The following is a 22,182-nucleotide window of genomic DNA, read 5'->3' on the forward strand; positions in this document are numbered from 1 at the left end:
GTTCCCCTGGGCCAATGAGCTCTTCAACGGGAAAAAGAGAGCCAAAGTAGATATCCAGCTTCAAACAGCGTTCCAAAGCGCATCCTAGGAGGTCCAGCTCTGTCCCATGTCACAGAGAACATTGAGGGCATCGGCAGGACTAGACCACCTGCGGTCACCTAGAAGCAAAGAAGTGGTCAAGGCTTCAGCAATCACTGCATGGATCTTGGCAGTGACACTACATTCCTACTAGCAGTGGCACCCAATCAGAGAGACCAGCCAGCAACTTGCCTGCCTGCAGACCCAAGCCAACAAATTTGTCTGGCCAGGAAGTATGGTAGGCAGTTTCTGTCTGGCTTGCATCCTTAACCAGTGGTATAGCCTCCCTGTGGAGGTCAGCCTCAGAGCCCAACCTAAGTTCCTTGTGAGACAGGAAAGCCAGCCAGCAACCCTGCCTAACTGTGGAGCACAGCCTCTGGCCCCAACTGACCAAGGATCCTCCACAACAACTCTGCCCAGCCTCAGGGCCAAGCCTAAGACTTTGCCCAAATAGGGAGGCCAGCCAGCAACCACACCTAACTGCAGAGCACAGCCTCTGGCCTGGCCTGACCAGGAAGTCCAAACAGTGACCCTTTCCAAATTCAGAGCCCAGTCCCAGGCCCCACTCAAGCAGAAAGTAAAGCTGGTGACTCTGCCTAACTGTGGAGCATAACCTGTTACCCTGCCTCATGAAGGAGCCTGATCAAGAACCCAACACAGCCTTGAAGCTCTGCCTGCAACCACACAGAGCTACACATGTGGGCTCTGTGGGACACAGGCTACAAACCCAGCCAATCTGGGAGTTCATGGTGACCCTGACTGACCATGGAGCAAACTGAGTAGCCCTACCTGGATCAAGTTCCCAGCCAGTGACCCAGCACAAACACACAGTTCAGCCTGTGTCCCTACCCAAACACGGAGCCCAGCCTGTGGCCTGCCCAACTACAAAGCACAGCCTGAGACCACCACCAATTACAAAACCTAGTCAGTGGCTCCATCTGAATATGGCATTCAGCCAGCATCACACCCAGTCAGGGAGCACTTCATGGGCCCCTACCCAACCAGGGAAAATTTCAGAGCCCAGCCTAAAGCCCTGCCCAATTATATACCCTGAACAACAGTACCACAAGGAGCACAGGCTGCAACAACATCTGACAAGAGGTGATTGTGGGGTCCAGCCAGTGGTCCTACTTGACCACAAAGCCAGTCAAAATCCCCACCCTATGAAGGAGCCCAGCCAGTAGCCCCGCCTGAATGCAGAGCCCAGCCAACAGCTCATCCTGATCATAGAACCCAGCCAGTGATCCAGCCCGACCATGGAGCACAGCCAGCAGTTCCACCTCAGAGTACGGGCAGTGGCCGCATCAACTAGAGAGTGTGAGCAGCAAGCCACACTTATTCATGAACACTAACAGCCAATCCATCTAGAACCAAAGGTTGGACTGACTGGTGAAGGTCTATCTCTACTGATATGAACCTGTTAAGGCTAGAAGAGGTGGCTGCTGCCTCAAAAGCACAAAAAGAAATGCAAGATACAAGGATTATGAGGTATTAGGAAAATGTTATACCAACAAAGGAAACTAATAAAGCTCCAATGACTGACTCTAAAGAAATGGGAGATCTATAAACAAACTGACAAAGAATTCAGAAGTTCAATGAACTACAAGAAAATACAGATAGACAACTAAACAAAATTAAGAAAACGATACACAAAATTAGTTCCACAAAGAAATAGAAACCATTTTTTAAAAATCCTGCAGATAAAGAATACAGTAACTAAACTGAAAAAAGTTTAGGAAAGTTTCAACAGCAGATTCAATCAAGCAAAAGGAAGAATTAGTGGACTCAAAGACAATTTGAAATTAACCAGTCAAAGGGATAAAAAGAAAACAGAATGCAGAGTGAAAAGAGATATATGGCACTTATGGGACACCATCAAGTGAAACAAAAAAATATTCTCCAGAAACATAAGAGAGTGAGAAAGAGATAAAAAGCTTATTTGTAGAAATAATGACAGCCAGGGCCAGTGGCTCATACCTATAATCCCAGCACTTTGGGAGACCAAGGTTGGAGGATCACTTGTGTCCAGGAGTTCAAAACCAGTCTGAGAATAATATTGAGACCACATCTCTCCAAAAAATAAAAATTTAAGCAGGTTGGTGGCACACACCTGTAGTCCTAGCTACTCAGGAAGCTGAGGTGGGAGGATCACTTCAGCCCAGGAGGTAGAGGCTGCAGTGAGCCAGGATCTTGCCACTGCACTCCAGCCTGAGTGACAGGGCAAGACCCTGTCACAAAGGAAAGGAGAGGAGAGGAGAGGAGAGGAGAGGAGAGGAAAAAATGGAAACTCCCAAATTTTGAGAGAGAAGTGGGCATCAAAATTTGTGACACTAAAAATTTCCCAAATAGGTCGAACCCAAAAGGGTCTACACCAAGACACGTTATAATTAAATTATCAAAAGTCAAAGATAAAGAGAAAATATTGAGAGTAACAAGAGAAAAGCTACTCATTACATACAGGGGAGTATCTAAGAGACAATCGCAAATTGCTTAGGAGAAATCTGGCTAAGAAAGGATGATATATTCAAGATACTGAAAGAAAAAAACTGTCTTAGTCTGTTTTCTGTTGCTATAAGAGAATATGACAGACTGGCTAAATTATATATAACTGAAGTTTATTTGGCTCATGATTTTGGAGGCTGGGAAGTCCTCAGAGCATGGCACCAGTATTTGGTGAATGTCATCTCATGGAAGATGGTGAAAAGCAGAAGCAAACACATGAGACAAAGAGAATACAAGGGCTGAACTTCACCCTTTTGTCAAGAGCCCACTCCCACAAAAACTACCCAACTCCCACGATAATGATATTAATCCATTCATGAGGGCAGAGCACTTATGGCCCAATCACCTCTTAAAAGCCCCACCTCTTAATACTGTTACAATGGCAACTAAATTTCATTAGGAGTTTTGGAGGGGACATTCAAACCACAGAAACTGCCAAACAAGAATAAAAAACTCAGTTGTCCTTCAGAGATAAAAGAGAGATAAAGACTTTCCCAAACAAAAGCTGAGGAAGTTCACCACTAGATCTGCCTTACAAGAAATGCAAAAGGGAGTTCTTCAAGTTGAAATGAAAATATGTTAATTAACAACGTAAAACACATGAATGTGTAAAATTCATCAGTAAAGGAAAATATATAATCAGAGTCAGAATTCTGTAATATTCTAAATGTGGTATATAAATGATTTTCAACTCTGGTATAAAAATGTTTTACGTATATTAAAAATAACTCTATAATAATTTCTTATTAGATATACAATATAAAAATATGTGAATCTTAATATCAATAACCTAAAATATCAATGAGGGGAAGAAGTAAAGCTATAATGCTTTTTATGCAATCAAAATTAAGCTGAAGGCCAGGCTCATGCCTCATATTATAGACTCATGCCTATAATCTCAGCACTTTGGGAGTCCAAGGCAGGCAGACTACTTGAGGCCAGGAGTTCAAGACCAGCCTGACTAATATGGCAAAACCCTGTCTCTACTAAAAATACAAAAAATTTACCAGTTGTGGTGGCACACACCTATAGTCCCATGTACTTGGGAGGCTGAGGCATGAGAATTGCTTAAACCTAGGAGGCAGAGGTTGCAGTTAGCTGAGACTGTACCACTGCACTCCAGCCTAGGCAACAGAGTAAGACTGTCTCAAAAATGTCCCAAATAGGTTGAAACCCTCAAAAAAATTAATCCCCCCAAAATTAAGTTGTTATCAGCATAAAATAGGATATTATAACTATAAGATATTTTATGTAAGCCTCATTGTAACTACAAAGGAAAAACCTGTATTAGATATGCAAAAGATTAAGAGAAAGGAATCAATCATACTACCACAAAAAGTAATCAAATCACAAAGGAAGATGGCAGGTGAGAAAGAAGGAAAGAAAAAAACTATAAAAGTCATAAAACAATTAAAATGACAATAGCAAGTACTTACCTATCAATAATTATATTAAATGTAAACAGATTAAATTTTCCAAACTAAAGACAGAGTGGATAATATATATAAGAAAGCAAGATCCAATGACCTGCTGCCTAAAAGAGATTCATGTTAGCTTTAAGGACACACAGGCTGAAAGGAAAGAGATGGAAAAAGAAATTCTAATGCACAAGATGACCAAAAAAGAACAAGGGTGGCCATACTTACACAGACACACACGCAGACACATTTTTTTATATATATATGTATATGTATATATTTATATATATACATATATGTCAGATAAAATGGACTTAAGTCAAAACTGTAACAAGATAGAAGAATGCCATTATATAATGATACTACTATAAATATGCACCAAACATCAGAGCACATAAATATATAAATCAAATATTAACGTAACTGAAAGGAGAAATAAACAGCAATACAATATTAGTAAGAGACTTTAATACCCACTCTTACTAATGGCCACGTCCCCCAGAAAAAAAAAATCAATGCAGAAATATAAGACTTGAAAAACATTATAAACCAAATGAACCTAACAGACATATACAGAACATTCCATCTAACAGCAGCGGAATACAAATTCTTCTCCAGAGCACATGGAACATTCTCCAAAATAGATCATATGTTAGGCCACAAAACAAGTCTTAACAAATTTAAGAAGACAGAAATTATTTCAAGTATCTTTTCCAATAACAATGGCACAAAACTAGAAACAATAACAAGGAATTTCAGAAAATTCACAAATATGTGGAAATTAAATTGAACAACCAGTGGGTCAAAGAAGAAATCAAAAGGGAATTCAAAAAATATCTGAGACAAACAAAAATGAAAACACAACATATCAAAACTTATGGGATACAACAAAAGCAGTTCTAATTTAAGAAGACAGAAATTATTTCAAGTATCTTTTCCAATAACAATGGCACAAAACTAGAAATCATAACAAGGAATTTCAGAAAATTCACAAATATGTGGAAACTAAACTGAACAACCAGTGGGTCAAAGAAGAAATCAAAAGGGAATTCAAAAAATATCTGAGACAAACAAAAGTGAAAACACAACATACCAAAACTTATGGGATACAACAAAAGCAGTTCTAAGAGGAAAGTTTATAAACACCTACATTAAGAAAATAGAAAGAATTCAAATCAACAACCTAACTTTATACCTTAAAGAACTAGAAAAGAAGAACAGGCCAGGCGCAGTGGCTCACACCTGTAATCCCAGCACTTTAGGAGGCCAAGGCGGGCAGATCATGAGGTCAGGAGATCGAGACCATCCTGGCTAACACGGTGAAACTCCGTCTCTACTAAAAATACAAAAAATTCGGGCATGGTGGCAGGCGCCTGTAGTCCCAGCTGCTCGGGAGGCTTAGGCAGGAGAATGGCATGAACCCGGGAGGCGGAGCATGCAGTGAGCGGAGATCGCGCCACTGCACTCCAGCCTGGGCGACAGAGCGAGACTCCGTCTCAAAAAAAAAAAAAAAAAAAGATTAGAGCAGAATAAATTAAATGGAAAATAGAAAAACAATAGAAAAGAAAAGGTAATAAAACTGAGGGGTTTTTTGAAAAAAATTAAAAATTGACAAACCCTTAGCTAGACAAACCAAGAAAGAAGAACTCCAACAAATAAAATTATAGTTAAAAGGAGACATTACAAATGATGCCACAGAAATAAAAAAGATCATGAGAGCCTATTATCTGTAATTAAATACCGACAAACTGGGGTAGATAAGAGAAATGGATAAATTCCCAGAAACATATGATCTATTGAGATTGAGTCATGAAGAAATAGAAAATATAAACATATCATTCACAAGTAAGGTGATTAAATCAGTAATCAAAAAAGCTCCGAAAAAACATGCCCATGACCAAATGCTTTCACTGGTGAATTCTGCTAAACATTTAAAGAAGGTTAATATCAATCCTGCTCAAACCAAAAAATTGAAGAGGAAAGAATAATTCAAACTCATTGTGCAAGGCCAGCATTACTCTAATACCAAAGCCAGATAAGGACATTACAAGAAAAGAAAATTACAGGCCAATATATCTGATAAACATAGATGCACAAGTCCTTAACAAAATTTTAGCAAACCAAATTTAACAGCACATTAAAAGGAACATACACCACAAACAAGTGGAATTTATACCTGGAATGAAAGGATAGTTCAACATTTGCAAATCAATAAATATAATACACCATATTAACATAATCGAGGACAAAAACCATATGTTCATCTCAGTAGATGCAGAAAAAGCATTTGATGAAATTCATCATCCTTTCATGATAAAACTCTCAGCAAATTAGATATAGAAGAAATGTACCTTAACATAATGAAGGCTATACATGGTCATAATAAAGTCCACAGCTAACATTATGCTCAATGTTGAAAAGCTGAAAGCTTTTCCTTTAAAATAAGGAACAAAACAAGAATGTCCACCCTCACCACTCTATTCAGTATGGCACTGGAAATGCTTGCCAGTGAAATTAGGGAAAAATAAATTAATAAAAGGAGCCTAATAGGAAAGAAAGAAGTAAAATTGCCTGTTTACAGATGACACTATCTTATACATCGAAAATCCTAAAAACTTCATTTAAAAAATGTTAGAATTAATAAATAAATGCAGTCAAGTTGCTGGATACAAAATCAACATTAAAAATCAGTTGTATTTCTATAAATTAACAATGAACTATCTTTAAAACTCAATGTATAGGCCGGGCATGGTGGCTCTCACCTGTAATTCCAGCTCTTTGGGAGGCTGAGGCGGGTGGATCACCTGAGGTCAGGAGTTCGAGACCAGCCTGGCCAATATGGCAAAACCCCATCTCTACTAAAAATAGAAAACATTAGCTGGGCATTGTGGTGGGTGCCTGTAATCCCAGCTACTTGGGAGGCTGAGGCAGGAGAATTGCTTGAACCTGGGAGGCAGAGGTTGCAGTGAGCCGAGATCACGCCATTGTACTCCAGCCTGGGAGACAGAGTGAGACTCTGTCTCAAAAAAAAAAAAAAAAAGTCCGTTTATAATAGCATCAAAAATAATAAAATACTTGTGAATACATTTCACCAAGGAGGCGAAAGATCTATATACTGAAAAACTACAAAATTCATGAAAGAAATTAAAGAAGACAAAAATAAACAGCAAAATATTTGTGCTCATGGATAAGAAGAATTAATATTATTAAAATGTCATACTACTCAAAGCAATTTACAGATTCAATGCAATTCTTATCAAAATGCCAATGACAATCTTCACAGAAATAGAAAAAATAATCTTAAAACTCTTATGGAAAGACCCAGAATAGCTAAAGCAATCTCAAGAAAGAACAAAGCTAGACACCCTATACTTCCTGATTTCAAAGTATATTACAAAGCTATAGAAGTTAAAACTTATGGCACTTGCATAAAAACAGACATATAAACTAGTGGAATCAAGTAGAGGGCCAAGAAATAAACTCATATGTGTATGATCAACTAATATCTGACAAGCGTGACAAGAAAAGACAGTGAGATAAAGGATAGTGTCTTCAAAAAATGGTGTTGAGAATACTGGATACTCACATGCAAAAGACTGAAACTAGGTCCTTACTTTATACACAAAGATCAACTCAAAGTAGATTAGAAACCTGAATATAAGACCTGGAACCTTAAAACATTTTTAGAAGAAAATACAGGGGGAAAGTTCCTCAAGATTGGTTATGGCAACAATTTGTTTGATATGACACCAAAAGCAACAGCAGCAAAAAAAAAAAAAGAAAAGAAAAGAAAAAATAAGTGTTACTCTAGCAAACTAAAAAGTTTCTGAACAGCAAAGGAAACAATCAACAGAGTGAAAATGCAACCTACAGAATGGTCAAAAATATTTGAAAACCATATGCCTGATAAAGGGTTAATATCTAAAATATATAAGGAACTCATACGGCTAAATTGCAAAATCAAAAACAAAAACAAAAATCTTGATTTAGAAAATGGGCAAAGGACCTAAATAGATATTTTCTCCAAAAAAAGACATAGAAATAAGCTAACAGGCACATGAAATTGTGCTCAAAATTACTTATCAGGGACGTACAAATCAAAACCACAATGAGACATAATTTCGCATCTGTTTGGATGGCTTTTAACAAAAAGATCAGTGTTGGCAAAGATGTGAATTAAAGGAAATCCTTGTATGCTATTAGTGGGAATGTAATTGATATAGCCATATGGAAAACAGTATGTTGGTTCTTCAAAAAACTAAAACTAGAACTACCATATGATCCAGCAATCTCATTTCTAGGTATACAGCCAATGAAAATTAATCAGTAGCTCAAAGACATGTCTGCACTTCCATGTTCATTGCAGCATTATTCACAGAAACCAAGACACCAAAACAACCTAAGTGCCTGTCAACAGATGAATGGAAAAAGAAATTGTGGTATGTGTATACGACGGAATATTATTCAGCCATAAAAAAGGAAGAAACCCTGTATTTGCAACAACATGGATAAACCTTGATGGCATTATGCTAAATAAAAGTCAAACAGAGAAATACAAATACTGTATAATCTCACATATATGTGGAACCTAAAAAAGTCAAACTTATAGAAACAAAATAAAATGGTGGTTAGCAGGGGTTAGGAAGTCAGGGAAATGGGGCACATTGGTCAAAGGCAACACAGACTATAATTAACAATACTACATTGTGTATCTGAAATTTGCCAAGAGAGTAGATATTAAACGTTCTCACCACAAAAAAAATGATAACTAGGTAAAGTAATAGATATGTTAACTGACTTTATTGTGGTCTTTTCACAATATATACATACATCAAATCATCACATTGTACACCTTAAATTCACACAATTTTATTTGTCAATTATATCTCAATACAGCTGAAAAAAATAAAAATAAATCCCAAGACAGCAATGTACATGTTATTTAAATAAACAGTTTTAAAGTCTTTGTCTCACTTAAATTAACACTTTGTTAATTTATTTTTTATTGCTTATTTTCTTACTCCCTGCCCATCCCTTGTCTCCACTAAATGTAAGCTGCTTTATGACAGGTGTTTACATCTGTCTTGTTTTCATTGTATCCCCAACATATAACAACATAGTAGTGGGTAGTTACTGCTCTAATAAGTATTTGTTAGGTAACTAACAGCTATTACTTGAGTAAAGGGAGGTATGAATACTCAAGAAGAGTAGCAAAATCTGGGCTGTCATCATCTTGATTTTCATCCCTACAACAAGACTTGCTAGATGTATTTTTGTGTTCAAGGAAAACACCCCCTGGGATACTGATGATCCATCCCCTTCCTCTCCCATGGCCTCACCTTTTTTGAAAGTCTTCCAGGTTTGGTGATGGGATGGTAACAATTTGAAACTCGAGGGAGCATCCATGGTCCACAGAGGCCTCCCCTGACACACTCACTTCTATACCAACATTCACACCCATGTCAGCCTTATGCTTCTGGATCATAATGTCACTGAAGTGGAACGGTCCTGTCACAACAGTTTCTGGGGAAAGAAAAGACGACCATAGGTTTAGCCAAGAATTCATTCAAGAATTCAAAGGTTTAGCCAAGAACAGCTGGTGTGCAAAATGAAATAACAAAGACCTATTTTGCCCCAATCCTCCCACTCACTTAAACTCTGTTGAAAACTAATCCATTAATGTTTGAATGTAAATTACTACAGATGGAAAATATTCAAATATTTAAATGGGCATTGTGTGACAGAGATAAAATCTGCACCCTGAGAAATAGTGGTGTCAAATGTACAGTGTCCAGAAGACCCCTGGGATCATCCTTTCAGGCACACTGTCTCCTCTGCAGCAGGCACAGCACCCAGCAGCAGAGGGCAGCACACAGGGGCAGAAAATGTTTGGGATGTGGAGCCAGACAGACCTGGGTTTGGATCCCAGTTCTACTAGTTCCCAGGGACATAACTGTTTTTTTGTTTGGTTTTTGCTGTTGTTGTTGTTGTTGTTGTTTTTGTTGTTGTTGTTGTTTTGAGACAGTCTCACTCTGTCATCCAGGCTGGAGTGCATTGGTGCAATCCCAGCTCACTGCAACCTCCGCCTTCTGGGCTCAAGCAATTATTGAGCCTCAGCCTCCCGAGTAGCTGGGACTACAAGAGTGCACCACCCATGCCTGGATAATTTTTTTTTTTTTGTATTTTTAATAGAGACAGGGTTTCAGCATGTTGGCCAGACTGGTCTCGAACTCCTGGCCTCAAGTGATCTGCCCGCCTCGGTCTCCCAAAGCACTGGGATTATAGGCATGAGCCACAGTGCCCAGCCCCCAGGTACATAACTTTGAACAGATAATTTTATAACCTTCTATTTACTCTTATGTAAAATGGGGATAATATCCTCACCTCATGAGCCTGATACAAATATTAAATGACCTAATGAATGCCTACATCCAGATAATTGGTAGGATTCTCAATTTGTCTTCGTTTCTTGCCCCTTGCCTATAGGCAAGGCTAATCCTGAGAGCTCCTTTCTGTGTGCTCAGTTATCTTTGGATGGTGGGCCATCTTTTTCTGACCACACATGTTTTTCACCCCTCACCTCCTTGGCCTCTGGCTGACAATACCTAGGACTGAAGAACTTGGCTCCAGGATGTCATTGAGGGAGAATTCAACTGGAACATAGTCAGATTGTTCCCAAAATGATGAACGAGAATCCTTCTTCTTTCGTAATATAACAAACTGACGTAATTTGGTGGCACTCAATAGGTATTTGACAGGTGTCAGGTCTTTGCTTCCAATCTCTTTGACCAAATTTTTGCTAATGCGTTCCAACATGGAGGGCATGTTGCTAGGAGGAGATGAAAGGAGAGCATCAGTTGGGAGAGGAAGAAAATGGTTAAACTCTCACCAATTATTGATATTTCCCCTAAAGGAAAAGATCTACATATGAGATTAGCAGGTCTTTACTTAAAATAGTGACTAGATTATAACTTTCTCAACTTTGAGTTCATTTTTTTGTTGTTTTTGAGACAGGGTCTTGCCATGTTGCCCAGACTGGTCTTGAACTCTTGGGCTCAAGTGATTCTCCGCCTCAGCCTACCTAGCATCTGGGATTATAGGCACACACCATCACACCTGGCTTCCAACTTTGGAATTCTTAAGACAATTTGGGCTTCTGACAGGCACTGCTGTAAAATTCATTGCCCCTTATTGTTGGAGTAGGAAAGCCTGGGTATCTCCTCACCTCTAACCCAGGGATACTGTAAATAACAGGAAGAAGGAAGGGCTCAATACTGTCATCAACTAAAGGGCCAGAGGGAAGGCGGGGCTTATGTTAAGATGATATGAGTAGTGGTAGAGAACATGTTGGTGTTTGCAGTTTTACAGTGAAAGCCACACTGAGAAGTGACATTTGAACAATAATGTAGAGGAGGCAGGGCATAAACAATGAACATTATGTGGAGAAAAGAATTCCAGGTACAGAAATCAGCAAGTGCAAAGATTTGGAAGCAATGGATGCCTGGAATATGTGAGGTGGAAAGGAAAGAAGATGAGGTCAGAAGAAAGTGAGGGCAAGTTGGTGAAGGCCCAAGATTGCAGTGTTGGATGCATATATGTCTTCTTCATTCAATAAATGGTGCTGGGATACCTGGCTAGCCATAAGCAGAAGAGTGAAAATGGACCATTTCCTTACACCATATTCAAAAATCAACTCAAGACGAATAAAAGACTGAAATGTAAAACCCGAAACTATAAAAATAAAACACTAGAAGACAATCTAGGCAATACCATTCTGGACATAGGAACTGGCAAAGATTTCATGATGATGCCAAAAGCAATTGCAATAAAAGCAAAAATTGATAAATGAGATCTAATTAAACTTAAGAGCTTCTGCACAGCAAAAGAAGCTATGAACAGAGTGAACAGGTAACCTACAGAATGGGAGAAAATTTTTGCAAACTACGAATCTGACAAAGGTCTAATATCCAGCATCTATAAGGAACTTGAGCCAATTTACAAGAAAAAAAAAAAAACATTAAGAAGTGGGCAAACGACATGAAGAGGCAGCTTTCAAAAGAAGACATACATGTGGCCAACAATCGTATAAAAAAAAAAGCTCAACACCACTGATCATTAGAGAAACACAAATCAAAACCACAATGAGATATCATCTCACACAAGTCTGAATAGCTATTATTAAAAAGTCAAAAAATAACAGATGCTGGCAAGGTTGTGGAGAAAAAGGAATGCTTATACACTGTTGATGGGAATGTAAATTAGTTCAACCACTGTGAAAAACAGTTTGGTGATTCCTCAAAGTCCTAAAGACAGAAATACCATCTGACCCAGCAAGCTCATTACTGGGTATATACCCAAAGGAACAGATATCATTTTATAATAAAGACACATGCATGCATATGTTCATTGCAGCACTATTCACAATAGCAAAGACATGGAATAAACCTAAATGCCCATCAACTATGGACTAGATAAAGAAAACGCGGTACATATACCTCATGGAATACTATGTAGCCAAAAAAAGAACAAGATCAAGAACAGCTCCCAATGGAGCTGGCAGCCATTACACTTAGTAAACTAACACAGAAATAGAAAACCAAATACCACATGTTTTCACTTATAAGTGGGAGCTAAATGATGAGAACACATAGACTCATGGAGGGGACCAACACACACTGGGGCCTACTGGAAGGTAGAGCATGGAGGGTGGGAGGAGGGAGATGATCAGGAAAAATAACGAATGGTTACTAGGCTTAATAACTGGGTGATAAAATAATTTATGCAACAAACTCCCATGGCACAAGTTTACCTACATAACAAACCTACACATGTACCCCTGAACTTAAAATAAAAGTATAAAAAAGAAAATATATATATAATTAAAAAAAAGAAAGAAAATGTAAGTCACCAGTCCAGGAAGCCTATAAGGAAAATTATTTTTAAATTCTGTAATAAAATGTAATTTTGAATTTAAAAACAGACGATTCAGGAAAACATCACCTTACCAAATGGACTAAGTAAGGCACCAGGGACCAATCCCAGAGAGACAGAAATATGTAATCATTCAAACAAAGAATTCAAAATAGCTGTTTTGAGGACACTCAAAGGAATTCAAGATAACACATAAAAGGAACTCAGAATTCTATCAGATAAATTTTTTAAGGAAATTGAAATAATTAAAAAGAAGCAGAAATTCTGGAGTTGAAAAATACATTGACCTACAGAAGAATGCATCAGCATCTCTTAATAACAGAATTGATCAAACAGAAGGAAGAATCAGTGATCTTGAAAGCAGGCTATTTGAAAATATACAGTCAAAGGAGACAAAAGAAAAAAGAATGAAGCATGCTACAAGATGTAGAAAATAGCCTCAAAAGGGCAATAGAAAATAGCCTCAAAAGGGCAAATCTAGGAGTTACTGGCCTTAAAGAGAAGATTGAGAAACAGATAGGTGTAGAAAGTTTATGCAAAGGGAGAACTTCCCAAAGCTAGAGTAAGATACCAATATTCAAGTACAAGGTACAAGAAGATAATAGAACACCCAGCAGATTTAAGCCAAAGAAGACTACCTCAGGCATTTGATAATCAAACTCCCAAATATCAAGTATAAAGTAAGAATCCTAAAGTGGCAAAAGAAAAGAAAAAATAACAAACAATAAAATTCCAATACGTCTAGTAGCAGACTTTTCACTGGAAACCTTACAGGCCAAGAGACAGTGGCATGACATATTTAATGTGCTGAAGGGAAAAAAACTTTTACCCTAGAATAATATATCTGGCAAAAAAAATATGCTTCAAGGATGAAGGAGAAATAAAGACCTTCCCAAACAAAAACTGAGAGATTTCATCAACACCAAACCTGTCTTACGAGAAATACTAAAGGGAGTTGTTCTATCTGAAAGAAAATGATGTTAATGAGCAAGAAGAAATCATCTGAAGGTACAAAACTCAATGGTAGTAGGAAGCACACAGAAAAACACAGAATATTATAACACTGTAATTGTGGTGTGTAAACTACTCTTACCTTAAGTAGAAAGGCCAAACGATAAACCAATCAAAAGCAACTACAACTTTCAAGACATAGTACCACAGGACATAAAGACAAACAACAAACAGATAAAAAGCAGAAGACAAAGTTAGAATGTAGAGTTTTTATTAGTTTTCTGTTTGTGTTTGTTTGTTTATGCAATCACTGTTGTCATCTATTTAAAATAATGAGTTTTAAGATAGCATTTGCAAGCCTCATAGTAATTTCAAATCTAAAAACATACAATGAATAAGCAAAAAATGAAAAGCAAGAAATTGAAATATACCATCAGTGAAGATTACCTTCACTAAAAGGAAGAAGAAAAAGAAGAAACAGAAGATCACAAAACAACCAGAAAACAAAAAATAAAATACCAAAAGTACTCACTTATTAGTAATAACATTAAATGTAAATGAACTAAACTGTCCAATCTAAAGACATAGAGTGGTTGAATTAATTAAAAAAACAAGACCCAATGATCTGTTACCTACAAGAAACACACTTCTCCTATAAAGATAAACATGGAATAAAAACACAGGAATGGAAAATATATTCGTGTCAATGAAAACCAAAAAAGAGCAGGAATAGCTATACTTGTATCAGACAAAATAGATTTAGATTCAGATTAGAGCTAAAGAGATAGACCCCAATGCAATAATAGCTAGAGACTTCAGGCGAGACGCGATGGCTCACGCCTGTAATCCCAGCATTTTTGGAGGCCGAGACGGGCAGATCACGAGGTCAGGAGATCGAGACCGTCCTGGCTAACACGGTGAAACCCTGTCTCTATTAAAAACACAAAAAAATTAGCCAGGCGTGGTGGTGGGCACCTGTAGTCCCAGTTACTCAGGAGGCTGAGGCAGGAGAATGGCGTGAACCCAGGAGGTGGAGCTTGCAGTGGGCCGAGCGGAGATCGCGCCACTGCACTCCAGCCTGGGTGACAGAGCGAGACTCCATCTCAAAAAAAAAAAAAAAATAGCTAGAGACTTCAACATCTCACTTTCAGCATTGGACAGATCTCCCAGACAGAAAATCAACAAGGAAACTTTGGACTCAGTCTGTACTATAGAACAAATGAACCTAATAGGTATTTACAGAACATTTTATCCAATGGATGCAGAATACACATTTTTCTCCTCATCACATGGATCATTCTCAAGCGTAGACCATATTTTAGGTCACAGAACCAGTCTTAAAACACTCAAAAAGTTGAAATAATATAACGTATCTTCTCTGAACAAAATGGAATAAAACTATAAATCAATAACGAGAGCAATTTTAGAAATTATACAAACACATGGAAATTAAACAATATGCTCCTGAATGACCAATGGGTCAATGAAGAAATTGATGAGGAAATTGAAACATTTCTTGACACAAATGATAATGCAAACATACCAAAACCCATGGGATACAGCAAAAGCAGTACAAAGAGGGAAATTTATAGCTATAAGTGTCTACATCAAAACAGAAGAAAAACTTCAAATAAATAACCTAATGATGCATTTTAAAGAACTAGAAAACCAAGAGCAGCCCAAACCCAAAATTAGTAGAAAATAATAAACAATAATGATCAGAGCAGAAATAAATGAAGTTAAAATTAAGAAAACAATACAAAAGATGAATGAAATGAAAGTTGCTTTGTTGAAAAGATAAACAAAATAGACAAATCTTTAGCCAGACTAAGAAAAAAGAGAGAAGGCCCAAATAAATAAAATCACAGATGAAAAAGAAAACATTACAACTGATATTGCAGGAATTCAAAGGATTATTGGCAGCTACTATGAGCAACTATACACCAATAAATTGGAAAATCTAGAGGAAATGGATAAATTCCCAGAAACATACAACCTACCAAGATTGAACCTTGAAGAAATCCAAAACCTGTACAGATCAATAACAAGTAATGAGATCAAGGCTGTAATAAAAAGTCTCCCAGTAAATAAAAGCCTGGGACCCAGTGAATTCAATGCTGAATTCTACCAAACATTTAAAGAAGAACTAATACCAATCCTATTCAAACTATGTTTAAAAATAGACAAAGAGGGGATACTTCCAAACTCATTCTATGAGGCCAATATTACCCTAATAAAAAACAAGACAAAGAAACTTAAAAAAAAAAAACTACAAGCCAATATTTCTGATGAATATTGATGGAAACATCCTCGACAAAATACTAGGAAACCAAATTCAACAATACATTAAAAATATCATTTATCATGACCAAGTGGGATTTATCCCAGGGATGCAAGGATGGTACAACACGCACAAATCAATCAATGTGATACATTATAGCAAGAAAATGAAAGACAAAAACCACGTGATCATTTCCATTAATGCTGAAAAAGCACTTGATAAAACTCAATATCCCTTGATGATAAAACCCCTCAAAAAACTGGGTATAGAAGGAAGATAACTCAACATAATAAAAAGCCATATATTACAGACTCACTCAATGGGGGAAAAGAGAAAAACATAAAGGGCATCCAAATTGGAAAGGAAGAAGTCAAATTGTCCTTGTTTGTGGATGATGTGGTCTTATATATGGAACAAACTGAAGATTCCAACAACAAAAAACTATTAGAAGTTATAAATTTATTAAAGTTGCAGGATACAAAATCAACATCCAAAAATCAGTAGCACTTCTATATGCCAACAGAGAAGAATCTGAAAAAGAAATCAAGAAAGTAATTCCATTTACAAGAGCTACAAATAAAATTAAATTCTTAGGAATTAATTTAACTGAAGAAGTAAAAAATCTCTTCAATGAAAACTATAAAACATTGATGAAAGAAACTGAAGAGGACACAAAAAATGGAAAGATATTCCATGTTCATAGATTGGAAGAATCAATATTGTTAAAATGTCCATACTATCCAAAGCAATCTTCAGATTCTATGCAAATTATATCAAAATATCAATGACATTCTTCACAGAAAGAGAAAAAACAATCCTAAAATTTATATGGAAACACAAAAGACCCAGAATAACAAAATCTATCCTGAGCAAAAAGAGCAAAACTCAAGGAATCATATTATCTGACATCAAATTATACTACAGAGCTACAGTAACCAAAACAGCATGGTACTGGCATGAAAACAGACACACAGACCAAAGGAAAAAAATCGAGAACCCAGAAACAAATCCATATACCTACAGTGAGCTCATTTTTTACCAAGGTGCCAAGAACATACATTAGAGAAAGGACAGTCTCTTCAATAAATGGTGCTGGGAAACCTGGATATTCATATGCAGGAGACTGAAACTAGACCACTCTCTCTCATCATGTACAAAAATAAAATCAAAATAGATTATAGACTTCAATGTAAAGCCTCAAACTGTGAAACTACTACAGGAAAACACTGGGGAAACTCTCCAGGACATTGGTCTAGGCAAAAATTTCTTAAGTAATACACCACCAGCACAGGCAACCAAAGCAAAAATAGACAAATTGGATCTCATCAAGTTACAAAGCTTCCCTCCAGCAAAGGAAAAGATCAACAACAGAAAAAGAGAACCCACAGAATGGGAGAAAATATTTGCAAACTTCCCATCTGATAAGGGAATAATAACCAGAAAATATAAGGAGCCCACACAACTCTATAGGAAAAAAATCTAATAATCAGATTAAAATATGGGCAAAAGAGTTGAATAAACATTTCTCAGAGGAATACATACAAATGAAAAAAAGGCATATGAAAAGGTCCTCAACATTATTAGTTATCAGAAAAATGTAAATCAAAACTACAATGAGATATCATCTCACCCCTGTTAAAATGGCTTATATCTAAAAGACAAGTAATAAAAAATGCTGGAGAGAAGGTAGAGAAAAGGGAAACTTGTACCCTGTTTGTGGGAATGTAAATTAGTACAGCCACTATGGAGAACAGTTTGGACCTTCCTCAAAAAGCTAAAAATAGAGCTGCCATACAACCCAGCAACCTCTCTGCTGGGTGTACACCCAAAAGAAAGAAAACCAGTATATTGAAGAGATATCTTCACTCCCATGTTTGTTGCAGCACTGTTCACAATAGCCAAGATTGGGAAGCAATGCAAGTGTCCATCAACAAATGAACAGGTAAACAAAATGTGGTACATATACATAACAGAGTACTACTCAGCCATAAAAAAGAATGAGATTGGCTGGGTGCGGTGGCTCATGCCTGTAATCCCAGCACTTTGGGAGGCTGAGGCGGGTGGATCAACTGAGGTCAGGAGTTCAAGACCAGCCTGACCAACATGGAGAAACCCCGCTCTACTAAAAATACAAAATTAGCCAGGCATGGTAGCGCATGACTGTAATCCCAGCTACTTGGGAGGCTGAGGCAGGAGAATCACTTGAACCCAGGAGGCGGAGGTTGCAGTGAGTCGAGATTGCACTGTTGCACTCCAGCCTGGGCAACAAGAGCAAAACTCCGTGTCAAAAAAAAATGAGATCCTGTCATTCGCAACAACATAGAGGGGACTAGAGGTCATTAAGTGAAATAAGCCAGGCACAGAAAGACAAACTTTACAATGTTCTCACTTATTTATGAAAGCTAAAAATTAAGACAATTGAAGTTATGGAGATAGAGTAAAATGATGGTTACCAGAGGCTGGGAAAGATATTAGGGGGTGGGAGGGAGGTGGGGATGGTAAATGAGCACAAAAAAAATAGTTAGACTGAATAAGATCTAGTATTTCTGAATAAGATCTAGTATTCGATAGCACAACAGGGTGACTATAGTCAATAATTGTACAGTTAGAAATAACTAAAACAGTATAATTGTATTGTTACAATTAAGAGTATAATTGTATTGTTACAATTATAACAAATAGGAATAGGACTTCCTAACTACATGGAATTCAGTTTTTGAACTTTCTAAATATGTTCAATAATGAAGAGAGACAGAATTTTCAACAGTTCATGTAAAATTCCTGATGTGACCATTTCAATTCTCTGATATGGGCCATGTAAGAGGTCACTGGACAAGCAGAGAATAATGAGAATATAAGATGCTTCTTTAAGACTGGACCTGTGCAATAATGTATCGAAGATATATTCCTTAGCCTTACATGCTATCAGGAATTCTCCATTATTAAGACGAACTTAACTTCCTTTTCAGTCAAATTCTGTAGGAAAAAAAACTCTTCGACTCATTTCACAAACCCATCCAGAACATTTTTGTCGCTGATGATAGTAATCTTTTCTTTTTCATCCCCTGATCCCATTAGGACTTACCAGATTATATATCCCTTTGTCCTGTAGAGAAATAGCAGGATTGGCCGGGCACGGTGGCTCACGTCTGTAATCCCAGCACTTTGGGAGGCTGAGGCCGGTGGATCACGAGGTCAGGAGTTCAAGATCAGCCAGGCCAAGATGGTGAAACCCTGTCTCTACTGAAAATACAAAAATTAGCCAGGAATGGTGGCAGGCACCTGTAATCCCAGCTACTTGGGAGGCTGAGGCAGAGAACTGCTTGAACCCGGGAGGCAGAGGTTGCAGTGAGCTGAGACCATGCCGCTGCACTCCAGCCTGGGCAACTCCGTCTCAAAAAAAAAAAAAAGAGAGAAAAATAGCACAATTGAGTAGGGCCCCTTCCAATCTTCAGACCTCCTGCGGTCAAGTAGAAATTGTCAGACAAACTCCAGGACCAGATCAATGTGATTCTGTTCACTGTTCTCTTCTCACCAATGGGTCCCTGACTCAATTTCCAATGCAGTATCCTGGAAAAATAAGCACAGGAGGGCCCTGTTCATTTCCAGAAGAGTAAGTCTGGAACTAGTTCTGGATCACAGAACCTTAGCTCTCAAGTCCTCAGCAAAAAGTCTGTGGAACAAAATCAAGTGGCATCTAATTATGTATCTCCTGAATCAGAATTAAAAAGGCTTCCTCAGAGTCACACCCATTTCCTTTCACATACAGAACTAGCTGAGCAAGTCTTTGATTCATGGATTCCCAGCAACTCTAGCTGGAACAACTTCTTTGGCTCGTATTCCTCTGGTATATGTGCTGAATTTAGAATTCAATCACTGGACACCAGGAAAGGCAACTTCAGCAGGAGGGACAGGCACTAGCGCCAGGGCCCTGGGAAGCACCTCTGAACTGCCTACATGTGGGGCTCTGTACAACAGGAATTACTGTGCTTAATGCCTCCTCTGTGTTAAGCACCATGCATGTATTATCTAAATCCAATCTTACAACAATCTTTATTTTAAATATAAATAAAAAGGGGATTTGTGAAAGGAATTAAAAACTTGCCTGAAACCCATGTCCTTTCCAATTACTCCCTATGGGTTTCAAGATGAAGTAAAGTGCCTATAGGAGCAGAAACTGTATAAACAGGATTGCTACACCTTTAAGTTTTGAGTAACTTCCTGGAACTGACACTCAATACAGCAACATTCCTTTCAGCTGACAGTATTTCACAATGCATTTACTTTACTTTTGTTTTCTTTTAATATTCATAAAAGTCTTATGCCTTCCCTTTCCACTGTAAGAACCTGATATGCACTTCACTTGGGACAAAGCTCAGACTGTGCTTTCTGCATATCACCACCAGACACGATGTTCCAAATTAACTTTCACGTTCTATAATTTCCATTGTAAAAACTATAGACTTGAAATATAAAATTATAATTACATACATAACCCTTCTGTGTACCAACATTCTATAGGCCCCAACCTGCTATTGGGTATTCCAGAAGTCGGAGAAAAGTAACTTAGCTGTTTGGGAACAGTTATGTGAGTCACACCAACCTAAATAACAGATAAAGAAAAGCTCTCTAAAAGACAGTGATATTTATTCAAGAATGAGCATTGCAATGGGAATATGCGTGCCATCACAAACTATGTGTGTATTCAGACAGGTAAGGGAAGAAAAAAGTTTTAAAAAGAAAAATAAGAAGGATTACACAATTGTTTTGAATCAATTCTTTGCTTACAAGGATCAGTAACAAAGGTGGCACCAGTCCAAGGTTAGACAGGCAGTTGGTGGACAGATGTCCTGGCAGAAGTATTTTTTGTTTAAGGTTGCAATAGCCTTTGTGCAAAGCTGTAGTTTTTAGTTTTGTTTTGTCTTTAATTTTTATGGGTACATAGATGTATATATTTATTTATGGGATATATGGGATATTTTAATACAGGCATACAATGTATAATAATCACACCAGGGTAAATGAGGTATCTATCATCTCAGATATTTATTTTTTGTGTTAAAATATTATACTCTTTTAGTTATTTTTAAATGTACAATTAAATTATTATTGACTATAGTCAATAATATATTGTGCTATCAGACATTAGATCTTATTCCTTCTAAATCTTTTTGTACTCATTAACCATTCCCCCTACCCCTGCACACCCACCCCACTACCCTTCCTAGCGTCTGGTAACCATCATTCTATTCTCTATCTCCGTAAGTTCAGTTGTTTTAATTTTTAGCTTTCACAAATAAGAGAGAACATGTAAAGTTTGTCTTTCTGTGCTTGGCTTATTTCACTTAACATAATGACCTCCAGTTCCATCTATGTTGTTGCAAATGACAGGATCTCATTCTTTTTATGGCTGAATAGTACTCCATTATGTATACGTACCATTTTTTTTATTCATTCATTTGTTGATGGACACTTGGATTGCTTCTAAATCTTGGCTATTGTGAGTGGAACTGCAATAAACATGGGAGTGCAGATATCTCTTCAATATATTGATTTCCTATTTTGGAGGTATATACTTAACAGTGGGTTTGCTGGATCATACGATAGTTCTATTTTCAGTTTTTCTGAGGAAGGCCCAAACTGTTCTCCATAGTAGTTGTACTAATTTACATTCCCACAAACAGTGTCCAAGGGTCCCCTTTTCTCCACATCCTCTCCAGCCTGTTATTGCCTGTCTTTTGGGTAAAATCCATTTTAACAGATGTGAGATGATATCTCATTGTAGTTTTGAATGGTGTTTCTCTGATGATCAATAATGTCGAGCACATTTTCATATGCGTGTTTGCCATTTGTATGTCGTCTTTCAAGAAATGTCTATTTAGAACTTTTGCCCATATTTTAATTAGTTTATTAGATTTTTTCCTGTATAATTGTTTGAGCTCCTTGTGTGTTCTGCTTACAAATCCTTTGTCAGATGCTTAGTTTGCAAATATTTTCTCCCATTCTTTGGGTTTTCTTCTT

General features: G+C 37.4%; 1 protein-coding gene across 12 annotated transcripts in view; it reads right to left on the reverse strand.

Annotated features, from left to right (window-relative positions):
* Positions 1–19,860, reverse strand: part of GSDMC (gasdermin C) — an 81,190-nt gene extending 61,330 nt beyond the window's left edge. For 10 of the 12 annotated variants that reach the window (XR_928340.3, XR_928339.3, XR_928341.3 and 7 more), the window contains exons 1-3: positions 19,247–19,860; positions 10,604–10,827; positions 9,338–9,521 (exon numbers count right to left, since the gene is read on the reverse strand). Coding sequence is in view for 9 of the 12 variants with exons in the window: in XM_011517161.3 (XP_011515463.1) it covers positions 9,338–9,521; positions 10,604–10,823 (404 nt within the window). In the remaining 3 variants the exon portion in view is untranslated. Of the gene's footprint in view, positions 1–9,337; positions 9,522–10,578; positions 10,828–19,246 lie in introns of those variants that run through there. The other 2 variants (XM_011517163.3, XM_017013645.2) reach the window with 2 other exon arrangements.
* Between the last annotated feature and the right edge of the window lie 2,322 nt (positions 19,861–22,182).

This window comes from Homo sapiens, chromosome 8 (genome assembly GCF_000001405.40).
Source record: "Homo sapiens chromosome 8, GRCh38.p14 Primary Assembly".
Lineage (NCBI taxonomy): Eukaryota > Metazoa > Chordata > Mammalia > Primates > Hominidae > Homo > Homo sapiens.